We start from the raw sequence: 27,828 nt of genomic DNA, 5'->3' as shown, positions 1-27,828 counted from the left end.
AGTCACGGGAGCTGCCCACATCACCCACCAGTGACTCTTCGCTCCCCACATTTTCCCCGAGGGCCTGATGTGCACTGAGCTGGGGAAGCCCTGCCAAGATAAACTCTCCTTCCCAAAGGCCACAGAAGACAGCAGGCCTCCGACACTGCCCACATCGAGCAGAAGGGACGGGGCAGAGGGGCATCTGTCAGGCTGACTGCTGTGTTCTGTGGGCAGATGGGGCCAGAGAGGACCCAAACATGGCTCCCTTTGTCACTTGGCCGAGGGGCCAGGCCACCGTGTACCAGACAGCTTTGCCCCACCAGCCTCTGCTGCTGGGCCAGCCCCCAGCGCCGTGACCACAGCTCTGCACGCAGGCAGTGCTGGGACCAGTGCCCTGGCAGTCACAGGGGTCCTGAGCCAATAAGCGCCCTGGGGGAGGAATCAGAACTCAGACCGTGGAGAAGAAGGTGTTGGCCAGGAGGGAACCAGGGTGGGTGCCGGGTCCTGTCCATGCTGGGATCTGAGATTCTAAGAGGTGGGTTAGGGGTAAGGGGGGCAGAAGTTGGCCCATGGGGTGAGGGCAGTTCAGCAGAGATTGGGAGGACAGGACAACCTGGGAAAGAGCAGAGCATCCTCCCCAGCCTCGGTCCCTCTCCTGATGCAGTCCTCATCTCACTCGTAGACTCTGGAAGTCTCCCTTTGGCGAACACCTAGCCCCCAACTCCCAGGTCACTTCCCAGACAGCCAATGCCACATCCCAGGCAGCCCCTGCTCTGCCCTTGGGGTCTGTGCCTGGCAGAAGGGCGGCTGACCCTCGGCCCCTCTTGGCCTGGGCCCCAGCTCCTCCGGGCCCTGGAACCAGCAGAAACACCCACCCTGCGCCTGATGGACTGGACATGTTGATGGGACCCATTGGTGATGGTGTGTTGGGAGGGAACTGTTTTAGAAACCAATGTAAATCTGTGTCTACATCAATTCCACATGAGTTCAGTCATCATATGGGAAGGGAATCATAGCTGTGGGGGGCTCCATGCAGGACCTTGAGGGCCCCGAGGCCAGTCCCTGTGGCCACAGCAAGGAGCATCTGCTTTAGCTAGTTGGACAAGACTCTCTCCTGCCCAGAAACAGGCAGAAGGACTTCCCCTGCTCCCCACCCATCATCGTATCCCAAACACACCTGTGTGGATGGTCACCTCAACGTCTCCCCTCAGCCCAGTGCCCGCGCTCTTCCTGATGAGGGTTAAGCAGGAGCAGCCTCCTCTCCCCATGTCCATGTTGCAGGTGGCTGCCTTCTCCTCAGCTCCCACCGAGCAGAACAAGAGCCAGCCAGCTCTCTCCAATCCCAGGATTTTCCAGGGATGCTGATGACGATGGGGGGCCCCAAGAAGCCTCCCTAAAGCAGGCAGGGCCTTGTGAGTCGGTAGTGGGAGGGATCAGGGCTTCCTCAGCATCTGTCAGTCCCTGGAGCATCTGAAGGGGCTCCCTACATCAGGAGGAAAGAGTGGGGCCGGCCCCTGTGGGTTCCCAGAGCCTGGCATCTGCCAGTTCCTCTGCCCTCCCTCACAGACACCCTCCACGGAGCAGCACAGCACCGAGGACAGAGGCAGCAGCCCCAAGAGCATTTTCCAAGACAACTACATTTATTCACACTTACACACGAGGCCCCCAACACACTGCTTCCCACCCCCACTCCCCAGCCCCTTCCCCCCAGACCCTCCCTTCCTGCCCTCCCCATTCAGCCACCCTCTCCCTCCCCTCCCTCCCCTACCCTCCAAAGCTAAGGCCCAGCAAGATCAGCACTGGGGGAGAAGAAGCTTTTGACCGCTTTGGGGCATCGGATGCCAGAGCCCCATCCTTGGGGATTGGCCCCAGAGAGCCTGCTCAGAAGCCCCTACTGGCTACAATGCTGCTTCTTCTCCTTCCTGGAGACCAAGGGGTCACCCTTTCTCTTTTGAGACTGTGAGGGGCCACCCAGCCCCCAAGTCAGGGATTGCTCCCCAGAGACCCTGAGCCCAGGCCCTCGGTGGGGTGTCTTTTCAGCAGGGGACAGGCTTCCAAAGAGAGGTTGCTTCTTGGCCTTGTTGGCAGGAGAAGGTGCTAGGTTGAGGCCTCTTCTCTCAGCAGATGGGGACTGATGAGTTCCCTGGGGTCCCCACTTTTCTGGGCTGAGAAGGCCCGAGGCAGGGACAGGGCTCTGGGGTAGCCACCAGGGCAGAAGCTTGTGCTGGGAACCCAAGAGGAAGGCCAGGCTGGGGAGTTCCTCCTCCTCACTTGACCCCTGAGCCAGCCCATGTGACTCCCTGACAGGAGACCCTCCAGGGAGATCCAAGGCATCCTTGGTACCCACGCCAGGGCAGGTGGGTCTGTGGTCCTGGGGAGGAGAGGTTGGCCGGGCAGCCCTCAGCCCAGGGGAATCCTGACATCCCAAAAGCACAACAGAGTCTTCGGACCTGGCCATGCCAGTGTGTGCTCTGCCTCGTCCCTGAGAGTCCCGGGCAGTCGTCTGGGGTGGGCAGGTTTCCATGCCAACCCCTTCTTGGGGGTCAGGGACGTCTCTCTCTGCTCCTTGGCCAGCTGCAAACTTAGAAGAACTTGAGTCCAACCGGGCTGTGCCACGACTAGGGGCTGCCCTCGAATGCTGTTTCTCCTTCAAGGGTGGGAGGCGCTTCTCCACTAGCTGCGGGAGGAAAGGGGGCACTTACTGGCACTGCCCCAGGTGTGAGCAGGGCCCAGGGTGGTGGAGACCAGGGCACTTAGGCGGCAGGTAGGGAAGCCTGAGGCAGCTGGGCTTTATGTCAAAGAGAGAGGGTGTGGCTCTGCCGGGCCTCCCGTTGGGCCTCACCACAGCTTGCATGCTGACTCCCCTCCCTGGCTCCTGTCCATCCTACTCCCTCTGAACCTGCATCTTCCCACTCCAGAGTGGCTCCCCAAGAAGCCGAGCATCCCCAGCGGGGGGGATTAGACAATCAGGTGGGCCTTGTGTGCCAGGTCCCTCCTGCCCCTGGGGTACCTGGGCAAGGGTGAGTCCTTCCTCCTGCTCCAGGTCCTGGCTTAGGGCCAAGAAATCCATCTGTGGATCTGGGGAAAGCAATTCTTCCAGGAATTGGGGATGAATGACGGCCTCCACCTGGAAACAGAAGGAAGAAGGTGTGAGCTTCCTGGGCACGGAGTAACCTGGAGCCAAGGACACCTGGAGGAGATGCAGAAAGCAGCGAGCGCCCCGTCCCCACCCTCCTGGGGCTGTCTCATATCATGGTGACCACCAGCTACAGACACAGACCACAGACCTGGTAGCTACACACACACAGACAGAGACACACAAACCACACACAGACACACAAACAGACCCACATATGACACAGGAAAAGACACAGACACAGGTAACGTACACACTCCACACTCACACCTACACAGACACACAAAGACACACAGTAACAAACCACAGACACAAACACACAGACACACACAATCACATACACAGACACTCAAATCCATGGAAATACACACACTGCTGAGTAGCTAAGGAACAGAGCTTAATTCCAAGGACCTGGGAGTGCCAGCCCCTGGAATCCAGCAGACCCCAGCACTCCAGGCCAGCCCACCTTGGTGACGAAGTCTTTCTGGGAACACAGCTTGTCAATGTAGCTCAGGAGGCCCGGGTCTGGGGGCGTCCAGTCCTCTTCCTGTGGCTGCTTCACTTTGCCCTCTTCCCGTTGTTTCTCGGGCTCCCCCGTGGCCCCGAGGGAAGGCCCCAGCAGCTCCTCCATGATGTCCACATACTCCTGCACCACTTCTGGGGGGATCTCCTCAGGGACCTTGGTCTCTGCTGGTCTCTGGGGCCTGGGTGGTGGCAGGCGGGCCTTGGTCTCTGCTCGCCGGTGGGGCTGGGGTGGTGGCCGGCGGGCCTTGGTCACTGGCCTCTGGGGTCTGGGTGGTGGCAGGCAGGCAGTCTGGGCCTTGGGGCCGGCCTTGCTGGGAAGGTACACTGAGGCAGAGAGGGAGGAGGACGGGCGTGGTGAGGGCCGCTCCTCCTGCTCGCACCACACAGGGGAGGGCAGGGCTTGGGGATGTGAAGTGGGTCCCAGCTGGGTCAGGACCACCTGAACCGCAGCGCCCCCGGAGGAGGCAGGAGGGGCACATCTGAGACAGCATCGCTTGGGAGGAAGTTTGGAGCCACCAATATGCCGTGTACTCTCCCCGCTCATCCCTGCTTCCTGGGCAGAGCATATGTGGAGTTTTGGACAGGCGAGGGGAGAGAGTAGCTAGGAAACTTGACCAGGTCAATACCGAACATATGCTCCTGGAAACTGTCCTGTTGGAGGGAGCAAATCCCCCTCTCGAAGGGAAGCATGGGGTGTGGGGACAGTGGCCTCCCTTGGCCCTTTTGGCCTTTGCCATGGCTCCTGTGGGAATGTGGGAAGCCATACCTGGCTGCTTGACCACCTCAGGGGCCGGGGGTCCTCGAGGTTCAAGCCTCGGTGTGGCTGGAGGAGGCAGGCACTGGGGCCCCTTCATCCATTGCGATTTCTGAATCTGCATCTCCTCCTCAGCCTCAAACTCCAGGAACCTGGCGGTGAAGGAGGCCCAGGCTGTGCTGAGAGGGTCCAGGCCCCCTCCCCGCAGGACCAGGCAGCGGCCGAGGGCAGGGATAGGAGGGAGTGCCTCGGGTGGGCTGTCCAGGCCCTCACTGTGTCCCATCCCCCAGTCCCAGGAGAAAGCTGCTCCCAGAGTTCTGGGCTCACCCTCCCTCACCCGGCCCCTGCAGAGCCCATGGCATCAACGGGGCTTCCTGACTCAACTCAGGGCCACGAGGTCCAGGAGGGTCTCGGGGGACCCCTCCTCCAGGTTTCAGCTGGCCAGGGGTGGGATTTATGGCAGAAGGCATCAGGGATGATGCCCAGATGCAGGAGTCCTGAGGCTAGGACTGTGGGCCCCTGAAAGATAACCCAGGGGCACGAGGCCTGGGAGACCCCTGGTCAGGAGGAAGCAAAAGCTGAGCTCAGAGGACAGGGCTCCTTTCCCCTGAGGCTGCTGTCTATCTGTCTGCCTTCATGGAGGGGACTGCCCAGGAGCAAAGGCAGTCAGGCCAGAGATGGGTCCCATGGTGTCCCAGGTGCAGATCTCCCCAACCCAACTCCCTGGCCAGGCTGGGATGGGAGAAAACCGACTTCTGGCCACTGCTGTGAGGAGCCTGCACCCTACTCTTGTCCATAGTCACTAGCGCCCCTTCTCCCCATCCCCACAGCTGGAGGTGACCCACTTTGGGCTGTGATGCTGGCTGCTCCTGCCATGACCTCCAGTGTCAAGGCAGGGATGGCCCCAGGCCAGGCAGGGGGTGCTTCCCAATAGGCCAGGACAGAGACCCCAGAACACTCTAGGTGGCAGGAGCAGCTTCCTGAGGGAGCCAGGGGCCCAGAGTGTCCTGGGTTTCTCCACACCCTCCTCATACTCCACGTTGAGAAGCCACCACGGCCACCGGGCCTCTGTCATTCACTCTCACCCTGCCACGCGGGCCCTGCTCCCAGGACCCCAGACTCACTTTTCCGCCATCTCGTAGAAGATCATCCGGTCAAAGTTGCTCGTGTGCTGCCATTCCCGCATGGCCCGCCACAGTCCCTCCTCCAGGGTCATGGTGGGCTTCCGCCGGGCCAGCGATCGGAGAACTGGGCTGTAAACCAGTGCAGTCAGTCTCAGTCTATAAGCCCACCCTTCATCCCAAGCCCACCTGGTCCCAACACCTGGCCCCTGTCCTCCCCACACCTGTCCTGCCATCTGTCCCTGTCCTGTTCTCCCCCATGTGGGCTCCTCAGGCCCCAGAACACAACCCCAAGATCAAACATCAACACAAGCTACCAAGTGGCCTCTCCGACTGCCCCTCGAGTCCTCAGTGTTGAGAAGTGGACTCAGTACTATGGGTGGAACATGTGTGTCTCCAACATTCCTGTGCTGAAGCCCTCAGCACCAGTGTGTCAGTATTTGGAGGCAATCAGGGTTAAAGCAGGTCATGAGCGTGGGTCCCAGTCATGGAATCCAAGCCCTGATAAGGGCAGAAGGAGACGCCAGGGCTCTTGCTCTCAGCCACGAGGAGACATAGCCAGAGACAGCTCTCTCCAGCCAGGAGGAGGGCCCTGACCAGACACCCAATCTGCTGTCACCTTGATCTGGGACTTCTGGCCTCTGGAACTGGGAGACATGAATGTGTCTTGATAAAGCACCCAGTCTACGGCATTCGTTACGGCAGAGCCTGAGCTGACTGAGACAGCGTGCACACAGAATGACCTGGGGGTGAGGGTTAAAGTGCAGGTTCCAGGGCCCCAAGACTGAGCATTTAACCGGCTTCCTGGGGACTCTGGAGCAAGGCAGCCCCTGGGGACGTAGCCTCAGGGCCCTGGAGCATGAGGAGCAGGAGCACACGTCCAGAACCAAAGCAGAGCGGTGTCCACGCCACTGCAAGCAGCAGGTCCAGATCCCACATTCCCACAGGAGCCATGGCAAAGGCCTGTGAGCCTGGGGCAGCTCCACCCCAAGAATCAGGGTCCCCAGTGCACCGGGACTCCGCTCCAAGGAGGAATGCAACCAGTTCCAGGGTGCGGGAACAGCGAGATTTTGGGGGATGAAAATGGGGCCACCTTCCACCTACACCCCAGGCAGGGGACTTCCCTAGGGGAACGGCCAGTGTGTTGCACGGTGGATGTGCTCAAGCTCCCGTTTGCTCATCAGCGGGAAACACAGGGTCACAGAGGCACCGCAGGGTGGAGAGAGGCAGGGACTGGGAATGAAACCACAAACTCTCCCAGATGCTGACGTTGCTGCCTCACAGTCACCACAGTCCATGGCCCTGGGCTGCTGGACTCATGGTGCACTCAGAGCTATCACTGGAGCCCGTGGCTTTGGGGAGTGCTCTCCTAGATGGCCTAGTCTTGATAATGATAGTAATGGGGACAGTAATCGTAACTGCTGTCATGTAATGTATCATAGCATGTGCCAGGCACTGTGCTATGCATGTCATATGTGAGCTCAAGTTATCTCTTCACCATCCTCTGAATGAAGCATCATTGTCCCTTTTTCTAGGAGGGATTGAGGGTGAAGATGCAAATACCTGCCCGGCATCGGCCCCAGTGCAGGGCCCGAGACCATCCCCCTGTGCAGGCTCCACCACCGCTGTGCTAACTGGACCTCAGCGGAACTGCGGGCATGTGCCAGGTTCCTGCTGGGCCCTGCAGCTCCTCCCCCCGGCCCCATGTGAGGTGCTCCTGGCCATCAATACTGGGTTAAAGGGGAGGCACTGGGGTGTGTACTCAAAGACCTAAACCCAAACCGTAGCTCACGTCACACCAGGAACCCTCTCTGACCTGGGTCTTCTGTAAACATTGTTGTGAAAATTATTGAAAGTAAGGATTGGCTGGACTCACGGGACAGTGACGGGCAGTTGAGATGAGGCCCCTGACAGTCTGTCCTGAGCCGCAGCCAGATTAATATGGTTGAAAATGTACCTTCCCATAGTGCAGCCCATCACCCTCACAACCGCCCTGCAAGCTCCCCTGAACAGCGTGACCTCCCGTCCATCCAGCAGCCTCTTTACGTGTGAGCTGCAGGACCAGCTCCAATGCCCCGAGGACACTCACATGAGGAAGCACGAAAGCGCTTCGGTGTCAGGACTCTGGGGAAGGTGCCTCCGGGCCAGGGGCTTGTAGTGCTGCCAGAGTCGGAAGTTCTCATAGACACTCCTGGGGTTACAGGAGTCATCTGGCGGGGCCTTGGCCTGGGAGGAAGCCAGGCTGCTCTCTCCATGAGCCCCTTGTGGCCATGGCCCAGCATTCCCTTGGGACACAATGGGGGGCAGCTGGGCAGCCGGTGGTGGTGGTGGTGGAAGAGGAAGGCCCTGGGACCAGCCTCCCTCACAGGCCTGGGTGCCCCCAACCACCTGGGCAGCCATAACAGGCACCACAGGAGCAGCTGCCAGGAGTAGGGGAGGTGGACACACAACACCTCCGCAGAGGGCGCCTGGAGCCTGCCAGACGAGGGGGGCCTGAGTTAGGACCAAGGTCTGCGCCTGAGCGGCCTTCACAGGCCCCACCTCTGTCCTCATCTGGACAAAGACGTTGGAAGCCCCGGCCCCACTCGGGCTGCAGCCATCCTGTTCTGTCACCAGAGGTGTGCTGGGGAAGGTAGACAGCACCAGAGGGCCGCCTGGAGGAGCCCCTGCAGTCACAAGGAGCGGCCCGTGTGCTGGGCCGGGAGCGGGTGTGGTGAAGGGCAGAGCCGTGAACACAGACAGGGAGGTGCCAGGGTTCGCGGTCACGCCCGGTCCCAGCACTGGGTATGCTGTGGAGACAAAGGAAAGAGGTGAATGAGCTGGGGTCTCCAGGTCCACACTAGTCACTGGGGAATCAGAGGGGAGTCCCAACAGCTAAGGGCGTATGACAGGGAAACTGCAGCTTGCAAATGTCCCTGAGTGTGCATCGGATGCTCTGTTCCTCCACGGAGAGTCGCTCCACTAGAGAGCCTGGCCCCGGTCACCAAGACTCCCTGACCCCTGTCTCCCAAGAAGTAACAGCCAAGCCTTTGCTGCCCGAGGGTCTCCCTCGGGTGTCCCTGGCAGACCCTGTCAGCCTCACAGGCATCTCCCAAGCCATGGGTCAGGGATGAGTCTCTCAGCGGCCTGGTGGTCCTCAGCGTGCTCAGCAACAGGTGAGGGGCCTACCCCAGGGCAGTGCTCGGCACTCAGAAGGCCGACAGGAAGCCAGAAGCTTCCGAATGTTATGGCCCCATCTCCTCTTCAATCTTCCTTTTCCTGACGCTCTTGTAAACCCCTTTCTTTCCCAGCTCAGACATACCAAAACAAAACCACTGGATGGAAATCTTTCCCAAGCCAGCGCCCTAGGAACCCTGAAGATAATCCATAACTCGTCATGCCCAGCATGCAAGTGATTGTCCTGGCACCACCCACAGCAAGTGCTAAATAGGGGTCAGATTCGGGCCACCCTTTCCGCAGTACTCGATGGTCCCGGCTGTCACTCAGGAAGCTCTGTTCCCAGGGAGCAGGTCTGAGAGGCAGTGGTGGAGTCCCCTGAGACAGTGTCACTGCATAGCCAGCAAAAGCCACACACGATTAGAACACAGCCAGCAAATGGTGAGCAGCAGAGCTAACAGGGGAGGTGTCTAGGGATTTTCACAGCTGCTGGTCATGTTACAATAGGTAGTGGGACAAGGAGCCCATCCCTGGCCCTTCTCCTTTGAGCTCCCAATAACTGAACATAGTGACCAACCAAAAACCAGGGGTTCTTGGGCCATGGGCCGGGTGAGGCAAAGTTGTCTGGAACTCATCCCTGTTCAATAGGACCTCATGCAGTCTCTAGTCAAGGGGAATAAGGGATACAGCACATGCACCTCATCATTCAGGACACGTATCCTAACTTGAATAATAATAATAAGAGAACCATCTTCCTATTCGTGCGCTACTCTCCTTCCTCTACTGAAAAGGAAACCAGCCTTTCCAGACCCTTCCACTGAGAACCAGCAAGAATCCACACCTGCCCCCCGTTCATGAGGTAGTATAAATGGAATAGGAGCAAATTCTTCATCTCCACAGTAACACAAAGTGCAGAGGACAGGCCATGAGCTAGCAGACAAGAGGAAGTGGGTCTGAAGACCTGAGCTTCCACAAAAGGGCAAACAATTCAGAACAACTCAGGAAACCCAGGCCCTGTGTTGCCTGAACTTCCTCATCTGCCCCCACCCCTGTTAAATCAAAGCCAACAGCTACCTGAACTGACGGAGAAGCCATCTCTAGGGAGAGAGCTGAGGGGCTCTGGGCTGTGGCAGTTACAGCAGCCCCCAGCCTCGCCCACCCAGGGGCTGTCACTACATGCTCTGTCACAGCCAACCCACCCAACAGTTTTCTGGCTGAGACCACTTCTCCCCACTCCTCCCTAAGATCTAGAAAACTCCAGTCCAAATCTCTCTGAACACTATGGAAGGGCACCTTCCAGGTGCCTGAAGATATGGCACAGGGTTCAGGCTTGCCTATCATCCTCCCGGGGCCACCAGCACAACATGATCCCACCACTCCCTACAAACACACAATGACGTGACCTGTCTCCTTCTAGAAAGGATCAATCCATCCACTCTGTCCTTTCTCCTACACGGTGTATTCCCCCAGCCATCTTGTTCCACCTCTAAGAGGCCGTCCTCCCTAAACACAGACTCAGGGTGCCATGGCCATCCCCAGGTGTGATGTCCTTGGGGACATCCAGTCTTCCCTCCCTCCTCAACATCAGCCCTATCAACTGTCCCCGGGGCAGTGTCAAATTTGAATTCCTAAGGAGTTGAGGCATGGCAGACTCAGATAATGCCCCCATCCCTACAGGCTTACCTCCATTCGAAGCCATCCCCTCAGGCTGGGCACTGACCACCGCCGTCTGGCAGTTTCCGCAATAAGAAAAGCCAAGGGTAAGACCCAGAGAGTGACCTGGCTCACCAGATGCTCCTGAGTCCAACTGAAACAGGGAAAATTTGAAAGTAAACAGGTTCCTGGAACATAGGACCCCAGACATTCTGCAGAGGGGGAGGGGCAGTGGGCAGCTGTTAGGGGTGGGGGACGTTCTGTGAAGGGCTTCGGCCATTAGGCAAGAACCTGAGTTTCCCTTCCAACTGGAAGGCAGCAGCAGAGATGGCGTGTGCCTCTTTAGGCAACTTTTAAATTGTCCTTCTGACTCACAGCAAAAGCTTCTACCTGATGGCCCCTTTACTTCCATTCTTTATCAGCAGACCTACTTTTGTGCCAATCAACCCATGCTCCTTCCCACTTTGGCTCTTTCCCAGTCTTGACGAATTTCAACAGCGGCCTCACTTCGTGAACAAAGTTCAAAACACATTTTCAGTCTGAGAAACACAGGGGTTCTTAGGAAGGCAAGGGGACTGGGTGTTTGAAATCAGGATGGTCTCAGCCGATCCAGACTATTAGGTGGCTGTGTGCTTATCATTGTTTAGGAAGCAATCCTTGTACCCCCAGGTCATGCATGTTGCTGGAATCTCTGTCCACACCAGCAGGCCAGCCTTACGTCCCAGCCCCTTTGCTGGAAAGCCTCAATCCAGGAAAGAGTGGCTATGTGACCTACAGCACCGAGACCAGAAATCCTTTCATTTTGTTTCCCAGCATATTGTGCTGGTGTTAAATGTTTATGTTTTATCTTTTGAATGATTTTAATTTAACCAAGCAATACTTTTCATGGCTCCAAATTCAAACTGTGCACAGTGGAATAGGCAATGACCAGCCTTCCTCCCATCTCTTTTCCCTGGCCACATTTTCTTTCCTGGAGGAAACAGGTGTTATCTGATTGTTTCTCATCTTCACTGAAACACACCCTGGCTGGCCTCTCTCAGCTCACTGTTGGCCTCGTCTTCACCATACGTTCTTGCTGTTTGGAATCCAGTGTCATGGCATGTGGTTCTCTGCATGGGAATTATTGTAGCCTGTCTTTAAAAAAAGCTTCATTCTCATTTCCACACTGAGAATCACTGTCCGTTTATTAGTATCAAAATGATAGGAAAGAGCACTCATGTTCTGTGTTGTGAACAAGGGGAGTATTAGAAGAAACTGGTCAAAGGAGATGAGGAGTGAGAACTCAGAGCACAGCAACAAAATCTTCTGAGACACACAAATCACTCCCTGCTGGGCAGGGTAATTTTGCACGATGGGAGGGTGTTGGGGAAGGGAAGAGGCCTTCAGCCAGACCGGTGCACACTGCAAACATTCACTGAAACACACCCTGTCGGCACTTACGAAGCATTTGCCCTTTCGAAGACACTTGGACTCAAGAAGGCAGAGTTGCAGGAAAATGTAACAGCGGCCACACTGCAGGGGCAGGGGCAGGGGCAAGTGGTGGATTGCAAGTCTCAAGCCCAGGGTTCTCCCCCACTGCCCCAGTTGTGTGAGAAGGTCATTTCCTAACTCCTGTCCAATATCCCCATGAGTTCTCGGTTTTGTCCCAACTCTGAACCTGAATGGTCCAGCAAGCATTTCTGTGAAATGTCTCCACAGTGGCCACTGGGAGGGGAGTGACCTCCATGCAGTGACTGTCTGTCTGGGTGCTCCCAGGCCTTTTGTCCTCTGAGACAGAACTGCCTTCTTACATGCAGCCCTCTTCCACTGTGCAACTCTACCTCCATCTTAGCTGAGAAGATCAACGGAGAGCAATTCAAGCAAAATCATGGTAAACTTACCAAAACAAAACAAACTGTAAACACTTTGGAGATCTTTCTGAGGACTTGATCTTTTACCATGGGGCAAACTTAAATGATTTTCAATCAATAACTTCATCTAAGAGGGATGTTGAAGCAAAATATCATACTCAGATACTGAAGAAGCGCAGAATTTTTGGTTGCTTCCTCCCTTGTCAAGTCAGTCAGCTGATGCTTTCTCAAGATTCTCACATGTGGCTTTGATACAGGATTTGAATGAGTCTTTTTCTGAGCCAGTGATACAAAAAATATATTGTGGAAGTGTCTTGTCTTAATTCTGCAATCGCTTCTGTACATGTTTGAAGTCCTAGACCCCAGGAGGAGAGACAGTCAAATTAGCCAAAGGTAATTTGTGAAGACTGGCCATGGGAGGTGGTGGCTAAAAGTCCTCCGGCCCCTGCTGTCTGAGCATCCCCACAGAAAGTCCTGGGCCGCACTGACAGCTGAGAAAGAACATCTCAGGGCTTGGATCCCCTGTTCAGAGGACACATGCTCCTCCACCCAGTAGAGGAATGGCGGCTCCATGCTGTGTCCTGCAGAGCTCTCAGACTCTGCACTTGAGGCCCTGGGCCTGCATCAATGTGAAGGCTCTTCAGTGTTATCACGTGGAGACAGATGATAGGAATCCTGCAAATGAGCAGAAAGGATGTGACGATTAAAGTTTCTTCTGAAGGTATTACAAACTGAAGTCAGTGAGTTGCTTCTCTACTAGTTTTTTATTGCCAACTGGAATTCTGCACTGTGTTGCAGAGTCAGGGGTGGGGAGCGTGGAATTGTTCCCTTAGTATCTGCTGCTTTATCGACTGAAATTGATCAAGGTTACAACAAAAACATTTCTAGAAATCATTTGAATGCGGTAGGAAAAACTCTGGGAATGGAGTCAGAAGAAAGTATATTTTGGAGTGTGTTTTCAGGTCTAAAAATCTTTGCCAGAAATACTCTTTAATGGAACCTCCAGACTGAGTAGGAAAACAGGGCATACTATTTTTTGAAAGGCATGAGCAGGAATGAAATCAATGCCATCCAAAGGGAATGCAAGACATGCAATTTGAGGATACTTTGCTTTAGGATAAACCCTCCAAAGGTAAACCTTTCAGCAAGGGTGTTACCTAGGTGCATGGACTGCAGGTTTGTATTACCGAAAATTAGGAGTGATCGTTGCGGACGCGCTGGTTTCTCAGAGGCACGGTCATGGAGGTTCCAATGAGGGGGCGTTGTCTGGCCCCAGGAAGCACCCAGGTGCCGCGTCCCTCCATTTCCACATCTCCAGCGGGGCCCTCCTAGGGCGGGCTCCTGGCCTGCCCTGTGCGCCGCCGCAGGAGCCTTGAGGCGGGCGAGGTTCCAGCGCGAGGCCGGCCGCCCTCAACCGCTCCCAGCGCCAGTTGCGGCGGTTGATGGCAGGGAGACGCGCAGCGCGAGAGCAAAGGGCGGTGACCCAACGGCCTTCGCTCTCATGGCGTCCTTCTTGGTGTTACCTAAAAATAAAGCCAAGGGTGATCAGAAGGTAATCACCTCCTGGTCATGCTCCCACTGGTCACCAGTGTCCGCGGGGCGACCCCACATTGTGACCAGAGCAGGCCTGTGGCTGTGCTCAAGGCGGAAGCGTTCATAGCTTTCCTAGTGGGGGCCCTGCGGGATGCCCAGGCCGCGCTCCTTTCCCTTGCTCACCTGGCCCTGAAGTGAGGGGGGAGGTGTAACAATGCAGTGGGAACCTCAAAGTGTGTCTCGGCCGTGCCTTTCACATTCCAAACAATGCAAAAGCTTGAAGAAAACCTCAGCAGTTGAAACCGTGATGCAGTTCAGCAAAGAAGTAGCTCCTGTCCTCGTAAAACAGTGAAGTTCTCACGGACGACCTCATTGAGTAAGTTGTGAAGCTTGTTGACTTGATCAGAATGATCAGCCAGCATGCATGTTCTAATACACTGATTTGTCACTGATAGGAGCAGCTGCAAAGTGGAAGAATAGGCCTTTAGTCATAGTTTGTTCACTTGGTAGCACAAGTTGGTTGTGGATGCAAGAGTGTGGCCAAAGTCAAGAAAAGCTTCCATGAGAATCGCTTACTTATGTGGGATTTACAAATAAAGACATAATAAAAAATGCAGTAAAGCCATAGGTTTTATGGCTGGCTTTGGAGAAAAGGGGTTCTAGGGTTTCTGTCTACTATGACCCACTGTTGTGGAAGAGAGATTCTAGTTTCCATGGCCAGCCTTATGGGAGAATAGAACTGAGAGACAAGAGGACTGGAGAAGGTCAGAGAAAAATGTTTGTTTCTGAGGCTGCAGCTGAGGCTTTCATTTGGGGGTTTTGTTTTCTGATCCCCAGAACTATCCTACACTGTAATTGCCTATTTAGTTGTCTGAGTTCCCTAGTTAGACGCTGTGCTCCTTGAAGGCTGTGAGTAGTTTTTAAATACTATTTTACTCAATTGCAATTGCTTAATATCTGGCACACAGCAGGCCCTCTACAAATATCTATGCATGAAAGAATATAATTTTCATCACTCATTCCATTCTGAAATGCACACACACACATACACACACTGATGAATCAATCAATGGATAAACAGGTAGATAACAGCTAATAGAAAATAATGACTGCAGGTTGTATAACACAATCAAAGTGTTTGTTGTTGTTTATTTTCTTTGAAATTAACTGGCATGCTGGATCTCATTGACACTAGCATCAAAATACCTGATATTATTAGCCGTGACATGTGTTAACTAGTGGTTTCTATGACTGCTTCCCCTCACTACTCCCCACCTCAGTGATCCTTAGTGATCCATTTGCTCATCAAATCAAAACTAATTTCCCCAAAGCAAGGCTATTATGAATTTGAAAAAGTTGATTATTTCCCAGCAGATAACTTGAAATGTCATGGAGCCTATTTAAAGACAGCTTTATATCACAAACCTTATGTTCAAGCCTTAATATACAACCAAATGGACCAAATCAGGCAAACAGAATCAGGCTTCCAAATATAATCATAATTCTACATTAGCTCTCAAAATAAGATTGCAGTTCACATAGTCTACAAAGTATGTTTTGACATTAAATGTAACATACTGAGGATTATTTTTCTGATTTATACTTGCTTTGGTTTCTACCTTTGGGTAGGTGGCTCTGACTATGAAAAAGTCACTGTGAGCCTGCCAGGCTACATCTCCCTCGCAGCAGTGAAGTCATGCCCTATCCTCCTCCACATTGCCTTTTCCTTCAGATTCTTATTTACAGATGAATGTTTCACAATTTTTTTTTCTCTTCCTTCTAAAACTAAGCAGAAATATTTCCTCTAGTGTTATTCATTGTGAGGAGAGGCATTTTTTCTTGCAGGTGGGAGAGTATAGATAAGGGTAATAAAGTTCCCATAGTTTTTGTTTTTGTTTTTGTTTTTCTGGGCATGAACTAATAGTATTTATTTTCTTTTAAATCACAAAGTATGATTGCTATAGCACTTCTCAGTTCTATTTTCTTTTTTAAAAAACAGCTATAAATTAATTGTACAGGCAGTTTCAAGTACTCAAAACGTAATAGATTAATCTTGACATCTGTGGCTTGTGGATTCAAGTCCCTACATTCTCTAGCTTGTAGTGTTTATGAGGTAGTGGATGTGAAGAGTTCATAAGTCAAATTCACATGTAATTTGTACTGGTTTCATCATTCATCATAAAATATGCTACTGAACAATAGTGAGTACGCTGTCGATATGTAAATACACAAATACAAGTGCACACAACATATAACAAAGCAGTTTTTATGATGTACCTTTTGCATTACAATACTCTTATGTAGCTATAAAACTACTACAAGAGATAAAGTAAATTTAAAAGCTATTTTCTTCAGTTGCATGTACATAGATGTATCCTAGAGAAATGCTATTGTCCCTCAGAAATAGTATTTGTAAATGAATTTTTTTTTAGACAAACCCAAAGTACTATACTATGGAATAAGTTTGTCTTATTTTGTTTTTAATCAGTGAATATAGATGACTAGTTCATTCACTTAGTCTTTCAAAAGAGTATTAATATCAAAATTACCATATGGTCTGATTTTTTTTAAAGCCCAGTTTCTACAAAACAATAAATGGTGAGGTTCTGACAATTATGAGGGAAACTTAGTACCAAATACATATGCTATTTCTCCACTTGCGCAAGAGAGCTAATTTGTAGAAAACAGAAGTCTAAAAGTTGGTAAATCAAATGTGTTTCATAATCACATCTGTGAGAGAAGAATCCTCTTATGACTTCTGGAAATATCAAAATTTGAAATGACTAAATAACTGACTTGCCAAGGAATTTGTATTCTCTTGTACTTTTACACACTAGGGGAGAAAATAGTAAAAACTAGCATAATCGTGTGGCAAAATATCCATGAAATAATATTTTGAACGTTAAAATATGGATTTAAAATAAGACAAATGGATGTGTTTTTTAGATGTGTATGCCTAAAAGATGGATACTGTGGATATCTGATGGCTTTCTTGATTAAGCCACAACCAGTGGACCTCACAAATGTCAAATATGTTATTCCAAAATGTCAGTTGTTTAGACTCATTTCTCAGCTTGTTATTGATGAGTTTCCTTTCACATTTGGAGGCATCCTGTTGGGGAAACTGAAGAACAGATGTTAAGTGTGAAGTGTCTCCCTCCTTAGTTCATATTCATATCACATTGTTTGAGCTGCCACATGTAAACAATATAGACACTAAGCCAACTGGTCCTCTGCCTACTGCTGACGTGGCAGAAAATATCTAGGAGGTAGTCAGAGGGGCATATGTATACCTGTTAAGTGGTCTGGTTCTCCAATAGTCATGCAAATATTGCTAAATTTGTTTCACTCCTGGGAATTCAAGCTTCTATTTCAGATTCCTAATCCACGGCAATTAATTATCTTCTTTGAATACCCAAAGCAATTTATGTTGCTTAACATATAATAAAGTTAAGTCCATTATTATTCCCTGTTTTATAATTGAGGAGACTAGAGTCCGGATTATTTAAGCAACCAAAATCACCAATCAATCAGTCATGACAGAGCCCATGATTAAAATTCTGTCTGTCCCCAGATTTGTGCTCTTCAGGTAATGACATTTCTGCACAGTTATTAATCTGAGTAAATAGAGTCCATAGTGAATTATTAGCTGATTCCAGGAGATTCCATGCAAATAAAAGTCTTTCTGTCATTTCAGGCTCTGCCAGTCTACATTAATACAAATCACAGCAACAAGGCAGTTTATTTAAAAATATTAAAAGTAATAGAAGATTGAATGGAAGGATGAATGGATGGATTAAGAGACAGATAATAGATAAATTGATGAGAGAGAGAAACACACAGAGAGAAAGATAAAATAAAATTAAACACACTAACAAAAGTATGATTTGATATATAACAGAAAAAGTTCTTTAGTTTGTGTGTTTGTGTGTGTGTGTGTGTGTGTGTGTGTGTAGGTATTCTGTCATAAAAACACAACTATCTAAAACATAAAGTTTCAATCTTTTTCTTAAGAAATATTTTTAATTTAGGCTGGTTACAACTGTGAATTAAATTTTATTTTTATTTTTTATTGTATTTTATTTTGATTTTTTTTTTTTTTAAGATGGAGCATCGCTCTGTTGCCCAGGCTGGAGTATGGTGGCGTGATCTGGGCTCACTGAAACCTCTGTCTCCCGGGTTCAAGCGACTCTCCTACCTCAGCCTCCTGAGTAGTAATTTTTGTATTTTTAGTAGAGACGGGGTTTCACCATGTTGCCCAGGCTGGTCTTGAATTCCTAACCTCAGGTGATCCGCCTGCCTCGGGCTCCCAAAGTGCTTGGATTATAGGTGTGAGGCACCATGCCCTGCCCAACTGTGAATTAAATTTATATCTAGAAAAGGTGAGAAATATTATTAATGAAAACATTTCTTTCTTTTTATGATACTTAAGTTATACATGTGTAGAAGATGCAGGCTTGTTACATAGGTATACATGTGCCATGATGGTTTGCTGCCCATCAACCTGTCATCTGCATTACGTATTTCTCTTAATGCTATCCCTCCCCTTGCCCCCCACCCCGCGACAGGCCCCAGTGTGTGATGTTTCCCTCCATGTGCCCACGTGTCATTGTTCAACTCCCACTTCTGAGTGAGAACATGTGGTGTTTGGTTTTCTGTTCCTGTGTTAGTTTGCTGATAATGATGGTTTCCAGCTTCATCCACATCCCTGCAAAGAACATGAACTCATTCTTTTTTATGGCTGCATAGCATTCCACAGTGTATATGTGCCACATTTTCTTTATCCAGTCTATCATTAATGGGCATTTGGGTTGGTTCAAAGTCTTTGCTATTGTGAATAGTGCTGCAATAAACATACATGTGCATATGTCTTTATAGAAGAATGATTTATAATCCTTTGGGTATATACCCAGTAATGGGATTACTGGGTCAAATGGTATTTCTAGTTCTAGATCCTTGAGGAATCACCACACTGTCTTCCACAATGGCTGAACTAATTTACACTCCCACCAACAGTGTAAAACTGTTCCTGTTTCTTCACATCCTCTCCGGCATCTGTTGTTTCCTGAGTTTTTAATGATTGCCATTCTAACTGGCCTGAGATGGTATCTCATTGTGGTTTTGATTTGCATTTCTGTAATGACCATTTCTGTAATGATGAGCTTTTTTTCACGTTTTTGGCCACATAAATGCCTTCTTTTGAAAAGTGTCTGTTCATTTCCTTCACCCACTTTTTGATGGGGTTGTTTTTCTCTTGTGAATTTGTTTAAATTCTTTGTAAACTCTGGATATTAGTCCTTTGCCAGATGGATAGATTGCAAAATTTTTTTCCCGTTCTGTAGGTTGCCTGTTCACTCTGACGGTAGTTTCTTTTGCTGTGCAGAAGCTCTTTAGTTTAATTAGATCCCATTTGTCAAGACATTTCTAACCAGCAACAGGTCCAATATCGGAGTGAGTATGTTCTGATGCACAGGGCAGCAGTGTTTAAGGATATATTCTCTTCATGGAGTAACATCCAACTCAAACTTTAATGGTAACGCTTTAAATCTTGCCAAGCTCTGAAAGCAATTTCTTCTGCTTAATTGCTTTTTGGGGACTGTAATACATGTGGGCATTCTTACTCTAAATAGAATTCTCTGCATCTATGTTCAACATTTCTTTTATGGCCACATAAGTGACTTTTCTCTGGTTATTTATGCAATATAGGTGACAATCTTATTTGGTTTTCTATTTGAATATTCTGTAAAAGCTGAATAACAACTCCAAAATACGACACAAACATGCAGATACATATACAAACACTTACTGTATTTTATTCAATTAGTAAGTGTGTTCACTTAAATTCACACACAACTATACCTATAGGCATGCCCACATATACACACACACACATACACACACACATACACTGTTTCTCATTCTTATTTCCTTTATCTGTACTTGGTTTAGTTATGGCTGTTTTTTGCCTCTAACACTTTTATTTTAAAAAGAAAATTAAAATAGGTTATTGGGATCAAAGATATAGGCTTTTTGTTACTTTGAATGATTTTTGTAATTCAGAATATGCATTTGTTATTTCAGTTCTTATTTTTATAATTATTGGTAGAGTTCATCTAATTACCCTATAAATCCCTGGAGAAAGGTGGCCCCCATATACTTTATTTCTTGGTTATATGTATAAAAATCAGTAGGCAATGTAAAAATGTTTTTGTGTGAATTTATGTGAGTTATAATTCTAATTCTATGTCAATATTCACCTCAGATTACCACATGAAAGCTCAGTCACCAACTATGCCTCATACTGAAATACCCACTGATTAAATCAGTTGACAACCAGCTCCTATCGTACATTCAAATCACCAGGATCAATAGAATATTTTCTTATTATCCAGATTCTCAATCCGCTGCTTCTACTCACAAACTTCTTCCCCACGATAAACATACACACACACATGCACACACACATAGACATCTCCCAGATAAATTCTTATGGCCATACCAAGGTAATCCCACTGCTTCCATTTATTAAATAATTGAAAATATTTAAGTGAGAAAAATGGTTGTGTAAGAGTAATATTGTTAGCAGTTGCTAAAACTGAATGTCTATGTGCCTTCAAAATTCGTATGGTGAAACCCTAGTCCCCAGTGTGATAGTATTCAGTGGTGGGCCCTTGGGAAGTAATTAGTTGGTGAATGAGATTAATACTCTTATAGGAAGAGACATCAAAGAGATAATCTCTTTCTCTCTCTCAGTCTCTGCCATGTCAGTATACAATGAGAAAATGGCCATGTGCAAACAAAGAAACAGGCCCTCATCAGTCACTGGATGTGCAAGCACCTTTATCTTAAATTTTCCAGCCTCCAGAACTGTGAGAACACGCGTTTTGTGATTAAGTCACCCAGTCTACGGTAATTTGTTTTAACAGCCCAAAGTAACTAAAACAGCAATTATCTCATGAATTTGGAAATGGTCTGTGTACACATTATCAGTAATTAATTTTGGAAAATTTACTTATTCTTTTGTAAATCTCAGTTCTCACTAAAGAATAAGGATGATAACAATACTGTATCCCCAGCATGTCCATAAAAATTAAATGGTAGAATGAATCTAAAAAGCCCGATGTATAATGGGTATAAAGTATTCAGTACATGCTGTTATATACTTCTTTTCCCCTTTACGAGAACATGCAATATGGTCTGATGAGGTCTTTTTAAAATTGTTCACAATAATTGACATTTTACAAGTCATATCAAATGATACTTTTTGCCAAACCTGGTCTCTGGCTTGATCAGTTTTATTTTACATTTGAAATTTGTACTTAGACTTACGGGACTACTTTCTTCCATGAAAGATCTAATACCCTACAACCAAACACTTCATTATTTGGAGTTAAAAAGTGAAATTCTTCGATTATATCTAAGCTAATTTAAGTATTTTAAGTATATAATGTTTAACTGTTAAGTAGTTTACTTCAATTATTAAAATGACTGAGTCAGAGTAACTGATTATACTTCCTAGGCACACTAGGCCAGATGTCAAGAATCAAGGACCTCATTTTCAGAGCTGGCACTCATTAGCTCTGGGTTTGGAGAATTCACTTATTCTCTTCATTCTTTCTGAATAGTTTAGCATTGTTTTCTAGAGGTGATTGAGTTTAAATGCACTATTTGGAGGCTCATAGGTTCCATGCTTTTAGGGAAAATAATTTTGAAAAACAAAGAGAATAAAAAACTCTAGGTCAAAAGAGATCTATGGCTGTCTCATAGCAAGAGTGAAACACTGAGATGCCTACGTGGTATATAAATATTAAAATAAAGAAGGCAAGCTGACTGTGAAAAACAACAGCTAAATTATGGCAATAAATGAAAAATGTCAGTAATATCTCTACTGGGGGCACTATGGAATGGTGGGGACTGAGGATAATTAGAGAAGACAACCCGCCTACACATGGCAGCATCTACTAAGACTTATGAACTCTGTTTATGAAGAATATGAGTAAATGTCCTGATATTTAAACACATACCAAAAATTAAGATGTTCATGTGAAATGTTCTTTTTTTTGTATTTTGCTAATTTGATTATTTTAAAATAATAATATTTTTTATTCAAACAAATATATTGTCAGCTTAAAGGCCACTAGTTTCTTACCTATTAAAATTTGCTTTTCAGTTTGATGCTTGAATTTTTTCTATGGCATCACAAGTAAGTTATTGGTTATACATGAACAAATGCATGAATGGAATTATTATTACTTTCATTGACAAATGTTTTTACATATGTAAAATTTTCATCTTTGAAAGTTATTTTACGTGTTTTTACAGAACTATCCTCTCTTCCATGATACATCTTTGTTAATTCTGTTTCTTTAAGTAACATTGAAGATATTTATTTTTCTGTTTTCATATATCACATTCTTATTCCACTAAAATACCTACATTTTCTTCAGTTATGTATGATTGGATTTTTTTAACCATCCAGATGCATGTCTTTTGACATAATAGAATCTTTTTTATTCTTAGGATGAAAGAGCTACACCATAGTACAAAAAACTTATTAATTTACTATATCACAGCTACTATGGTGTGGTATGTAAATTAAGTTTATGAAAATTTATGATTATTCAGATTAAGTCCTGCATATGTAATGTTAAGATTTTTTTACTTTAGTTTTCTGAGAACTTGATTTACTAAAAGGTAAATAAATCATACTAGGATGATTATAAATATATCATTATTATTTTAAAAGGTATGCCCCAGTCCTCTTCTTACTTTTGGATAAGCTCATTCTGAAACCACAGTTCCAGACTCTTCTCCTGAGTACAATAAATGTATTTTAAAGCAGTGGTAAATATTTGTTTTGTCTGCAACTCCATCTCCAACAAGTAATTTGTTCAATAATTGTCATTATGAAGTGGATGTCCTTTACATCAGCTCCCTAGATTTTTTCAAGGCCATTGGTGCTTCACAACATTTTTTCAGAGGTTACATTCTAGTCACTTTCTTTATTGTCCATTCAAAACACTTGCTGAGACCTAGGGTGTCAGATTCTATTTTGCCTGTTATTTGACATTCCCTTCTCTTCGCAGGCCATTTAGCTACGTATTTCCTATTGGACTATCTGCTTTGGCATTTAGTAAATAAATACCGTAAGTCACTGAGGGTATGGGAAGAAATATTGAGTCATAGATACCATTTTCTCTTAGGGAATTTTCCTCTGAAGGCTTGCAAGTGTGGTATAGTTCAGTGTAGTGCTACCAGCTTCTGTTCTGAGGACACAGCTGATTGGGTTGATAATCCAAGATAATTTAAACAGATTATTTAACCTTTTTATGTTAGTGTTTCTATTTTGTATAGTGGTTATAATAAAACCATTTACTACTTAAGATTAAGATCTTCATAGATCTGAAGAAATATTGTACTAGAATGCTTAGTGAAAAATGTCTGACACATAATAAATACTCCATACATTTTGGCCTTTGCTCTCATTGTTATTTTTACCATCAGCTCTCTATCTCACCCTTGAAACCTGGCTCAGCCCCTGTGGAACTGTAGTATATCACCCCTGTCCCACAACGAAGACCTAGACTATTTACCCTTACATGGTTCCTGTGTCCAAGGTCCCAGAAAGGTAGAAGGGGGAAATGTCACAATAATATTCAAAATATCTGAAAGCAAACTGCTATTGTTTTAGTTTGAGAATAGAGCTTGATAGAATTTGACATTGTATTTCCCTAAAATATTAAACTTGTATACTCTCAACAGTTATATTATAAATATTTATTCAGGTATGGTCAAAATTTATCCATATTAATGATAATTATTTAAATGCTCTTTAGCTGTTCATCACCATATTAATACTAGGAATAATGACAGCTAATTTTAATTGAGAACTTCCTAACTGTGGCCCAGTTACAGTAAAATAAACACTATTAGATACATCCCATCGATTATTACAGCAAGCCTATGAAACATACTGTATTACACAGCCAGTATTAGAAATGAAAAACTCATGGGAAGGATATGTATAAAACTTGCTCAAAGTTACCCAGCTAATAAGTGGCTAGGACACGATTAAACACCTATGTAGTTTTCTTTCCTGAGCTGAAATCCTAAATCCTTGGCTGTATGGCCCCTCATTCAAAAGTCCTAAACTGGCTAAAATTTATATAACAGAAAATTCACAGAATCATTTCCTTCTACTTTTCCACTACCAGGGCTGTTAACAGTCCCAAGCAAAAGGGCAAAAATTTTTTCTACTTGAGATAAGAAAAATATAGAGTGTGACAGAAGGTATTCTACCAATATAAAAACACTTTACCAGGAAAACTGAGAAGGGGGCTGTTAACCTTCCGGGAAATGTAGGTCTTCAGTGGATTCTTGTTACAGACATAAAAACGTAGAGAGAAGACTTTCAGTTAAAAGCCTCATACCTTCAGCAAAGTATATTCTGATTCCATTATCGTGTTAGGCTCCTATACAGTTATAAGTAATCCCATGCGGTTTTAGAATTCTTAAATATTCACACACATAGTCATCTGAAAATGAATAAATCCATGAATGACTAAACAAATTTATTCCTATATCATTTTCAATATCCTTAAATTATGCTTACATCCTTAAATCAGTTGCCTCATTCTGAAAGCACATAGTCTGTAACTCATAAAAAACACCTGTCGGCCGGGCACGGTGGCTCACGCCTGTAATCCCAGCACTTTGGGAGGCCGAGGTGGGCGTATCACCTAAGGTCGGGAGTTTGCGACCAGCCTGACCACCATGGAGAAACCCCGTCTCTAATAAAAACACAAAAAATTAGCCGGGCGCGGTGGTGCATGCCTGTAATCCCAGCTACTTGGGAGGCTGAGGTAGGAGAATCACTTGAACTTGGGAGGCGGAGGTTGCGGTGAGCCAAGATCGTGCCAGCCTGGGCAACAATAGCAAAACTCCGTATCACAAAAAAAAACAAAAAAAAAAAAACAAAAAAAAAACCACTAAATAATTCATTTAGTATGGGAGAGTGTGAGGAAGCAGAAAATTAAAAAAAAAATAGACCAGCAATAATGTCACTTTTTCATGAATTTGTTAGTTCTTTCTGGGCTCCACTTACAGTTACTTTCCCATTCTTCCCTGCACACCGTCAACACATAAGGACTCAAATTAAGATGATGTATATGTTTACACTCCAAAATTTTTTTTTTTTTTTTTTGTGAGCATGGGGCTGTATTTTAATACAAGAAAGACATTGCTCTAGAACATGGCTCGCCTTTGCTTCAGGGCCTAGCAGTTTATTTTAGCCATAAGGGTAAGGGAGCAGGTCAGAAATGACTTTTAGTGTAATCCTATCTGTAATTAAAAATACAAATGCTGTCATAAGATCAAATGTTATCAAAAATCAGTATTTAAAATTAAATTTACCCCCAAATTTCTTTCAAAAAAGTTGTAATGTTCTTTTTCAGTGAAGCCTTTGCACTGCTAGAGCTGAAGAATGTGATCAATCGGCTTGTTGAATAATCCCGCACAGTAGGTATTCCGCTGAAGCCAACTCTAGCTGGGGGCTCGAGAGCGAAAGACACAGATGGGGCCCTGCCGCCCCTCGAAGAGTCGGATGGGCGCGCCCGTCCCCGGTGCATCAAGAGGCTGGCCCGGCCAGGGGCGAGGGGCTCGCACCGAACCCCGCGCACCTCGCCGCGGGCGGGGCTGGGCCGTAGTCGGCTCGATTTAAGGCTGGTATCCAAGGCTGCGGCCGGTCAGGCGAGGCGAGGCGACGTGAGCGAGGGTGCTTAGGGAGAACAGCCGCTGGCAGCTCAATGCTGGGTGGCTAACGCTCGACGGTGCCCGGCAGCAACCCGGCCGACACCCCGACCCGGATCCCGAGCTGCGTCGCGGACGATGCCGCGGGCCCGTCCGGGACTACGACTCCCGACGGGCTCTGCGATCGCTCCGGGGCGGCCCAGCGTGCACTGCGCCGGCCAGTTTGACAGCCGGGCGCCCTACTCGGCTAGCTCTGCTCCCAGCGAGGGACGCTGGCCTTCTCGCGGCTTTCCCCCGATATCTCTCTTTATTCCAGCTGCCTGAAACTCGGTCCCACGAATGGCAGGCAGCGTCCAAAATTCAACCCCGTAAAGCCAGCACCAGCCAATAAAGCGCACGGATGGAGGCCACGTGACAGCAGTGGGCCGGCCCTCCGGCTGAGCCCTGATCTCTATGGTTTCCGCGGCTCGCTAGAAGGAGTGTGGTCCACCGGAGGACTCCCTACATTCTTCCTCCATTACCTCACTGCCTCCGGTGGCTGCTGGGATACCGGAGGACTCGGGTCCCGGCTCGACTCAGTCCTCCAGCCGCCCGGGGAATACCTCTAGTTCTTCCCGGCCGCCGCCGCCGCCGCCGCCCCGCCGCTTCCTCCTCCGCCTGCCGGCCTCCTTCGCCCCGTCCCGTCCGCGCAGCGCGTCCGGCCCGCCCGCAGGCCAGCTTCTCTCGGGAGCCCCCACCCAGGCGCATGGCTCCATGAAGCAAGAGGAGGAGGCAGAGCGCGAGAGGTCCCGTCCGCCCCAGCCGCGTCTGGGCCAGGATAAAAGGTGGGAAACTCGGGCTGCGCCGCACCCTTCTCCCCGCTGCCGGGCCAGGCCTCCCTCGGTCCGCCGCCGCCTTGCCCGCCGGGCCTGTTCTCGCCGGGGCGGGCGGCGGGGCCGGGAAGAGACCCCGCGGTCCTGGGGCGAGGGTCCGGGGGCAGCGTGGGGGAGGGGTCCCGGGCGGCGGGCGGGGCCTCAGGCCATGTCCCAGCGGAGGGCAGGGGGTCGGGAGGCACTGCCGGGGAGGGGCAGGCGGCGCCGTGCCCCGGGCCGCGAGGCTCGGCTCCCGCTCCTGGTCCTTGTCTGCACTCCCTCCAGGAAGCAGGCTCGCTCGCTGTAATGTTTGGTGGTCTCCGGCGCCGCCTGGTGGCCCCCACCCACCGTCCCGCCGCCCCGCCGCCCCCTCCCCCGCCCGGCGTCTGGATTCCACCCCCGCGGCTCGGCCCAAGCTGCTCTACCTGTCGCTCCATCGTCTCCCCAACTCCCCAGCGCCCCGGGCCCTCTTTCCTCTTACCCTCGTTTCTCACCTTTCACCCTGTCCCTCGGCCCGCTTTTCCCCTCCCCGCTCTGTCCTGTCGTTTTCTTAACACTCTTCACACGCGCACTTCCTCCTCCTCCTCTTCTCTTTTTCCCACCCCTACCTTTGGGCCCTCCTTCCTTAACCTCCGCTGGCCCCCCATTCCATGATCCGTCCACCTGACACGCTGGGTTTCATGCCTCTCTTTCCCAGGCTGTGGGTTGTGCCCTTCACTCCTTGCCCTCCTCCATTCCCTGTCCTGATCTGAACTCCTCTCCTTGCCACGCTCCCTCACCCTTATCCCTCTGCACACTCCAAAATTTTTAAAGAAAAAGGAGAGAGAGAAAAAAAAGTAAAAGAAAAGAAACCCAAAAGGGAAAATATAGCTAAGGTGAACTGGTGAGTTTCACTCAGAATTCTTATTATTGAGAATGATGTATTTTGTTTTCTTATGTATAATGAAAATGGAAGAGAAGAATTATAAATCATAGTTCATTTTTATGATTAGTACATAAAAAAATTTGAGTCTTTCTTGGCATCCATCACTTTATCTTAAAAACACAGAGTATTTACTTTTTGTGTGGCAAAGGAGGCCTAATGGGGAACCTTGACCTTCATCTCAACTTGACAGTAAAAAGGTGCTCCTTCCTTCCCCTTTTGCTTGCCATGTGTCTGAAAAAGACTAGTAGCAAGAATATATAAAGAACTTTCAAAACTTAAGAGTGAACAAAGTCAAATTAGAAAGTGGGCAAAAGACATGAATATACATTTCACTGAAAAGAATATATGTTTGGAAAATCAGAGCATGAAAAGACGTCAACATCATTAGCCATTAGGGAATGAAAAATTAAAACCCCAATGGGATTTCAATATATACCCAATGGAATAGTTACAATAAAAAATAATGACAACACTGAGTGCTAGCAAGGCTGCAAAGAAACTACATAACTGGTGCATGGTTGATGGGAATGTAAAATAACAAAGCCATTCTCTAACAATTTGATACTTTCTTTAAAAAGCAAACAAACAGTTTAA

General features: G+C 48.1%; 1 protein-coding gene and 2 long non-coding RNA genes across 5 annotated transcripts in view, besides 1 other annotated feature; 1 reads left to right on the top strand and 2 right to left on the bottom strand.

Annotated features, from left to right (window-relative positions):
- Positions 1-1,601: 1,601 nt before the first annotated feature.
- NUTM2E (NUT family member 2E) lies at positions 1,602-25,741 on the bottom strand. The gene is made up of 10 exons (NM_001355263.2): positions 25,123-25,741; positions 13,894-14,171; positions 13,365-13,700; positions 10,358-12,852; positions 7,608-8,307; positions 5,522-5,650; positions 4,410-4,549; positions 3,585-3,967; positions 2,993-3,109; positions 1,602-2,659 (listed from the first exon to the last, which is right to left on the bottom strand). Exons 4-10 carry the CDS (start codon positions 10,737-10,739, stop codon positions 1,874-1,876), a joined length of 2,637 nt encoding a protein of 878 aa, NP_001342192.1. The 5' UTR covers positions 10,740-12,852; positions 13,365-13,700; positions 13,894-14,171; positions 25,123-25,741; the 3' UTR covers positions 1,602-1,873.
- On the bottom strand, positions 24,878-26,578 carry LOC642361 (uncharacterized). Its single transcript, NR_029407.1, has one exon. It is a non-coding gene; the product is annotated as an uncharacterized LOC642361 (long non-coding RNA).
- Positions 25,886-27,828, top strand: part of NUTM2B-AS1 (NUTM2B antisense RNA 1) — a 135,095-nt gene continuing 133,152 nt past the window's right edge. For all 3 annotated transcript variants that reach the window (NR_120613.1, NR_120611.1, NR_120612.1), the window contains exon 1: positions 25,886-26,282. This is a non-coding gene — a long non-coding RNA (NUTM2B antisense RNA 1). The remainder of the gene's footprint in view (positions 26,283-27,828) is intronic.
- Positions 26,257-26,855: an enhancer, noted in NCBI's record as "H3K27ac hESC enhancer chr10:81585381-81585979 (GRCh37/hg19 assembly coordinates)". NCBI's record gives its function as "activates a minimal SCP1, AML or CMV promoter by ChIP-STARR-seq in naive H9 embryonic stem cells {active_cell/tissue: H9 hESC(naive)}" and the evidence as "EXISTENCE:reporter gene assay evidence [ECO:0000049][PMID:30033119]".

The sequence above is a fragment of the Homo sapiens genome, chromosome 10 (assembly GCF_000001405.40).
Source record: "Homo sapiens chromosome 10, GRCh38.p14 Primary Assembly".
In the NCBI taxonomy this organism is placed as follows: domain Eukaryota; kingdom Metazoa; phylum Chordata; class Mammalia; order Primates; family Hominidae; genus Homo; species Homo sapiens.
The sequence above is the reverse complement of the archived record's forward strand: the minus strand, read 5'-3'. Positions and strand labels throughout refer to the sequence as shown.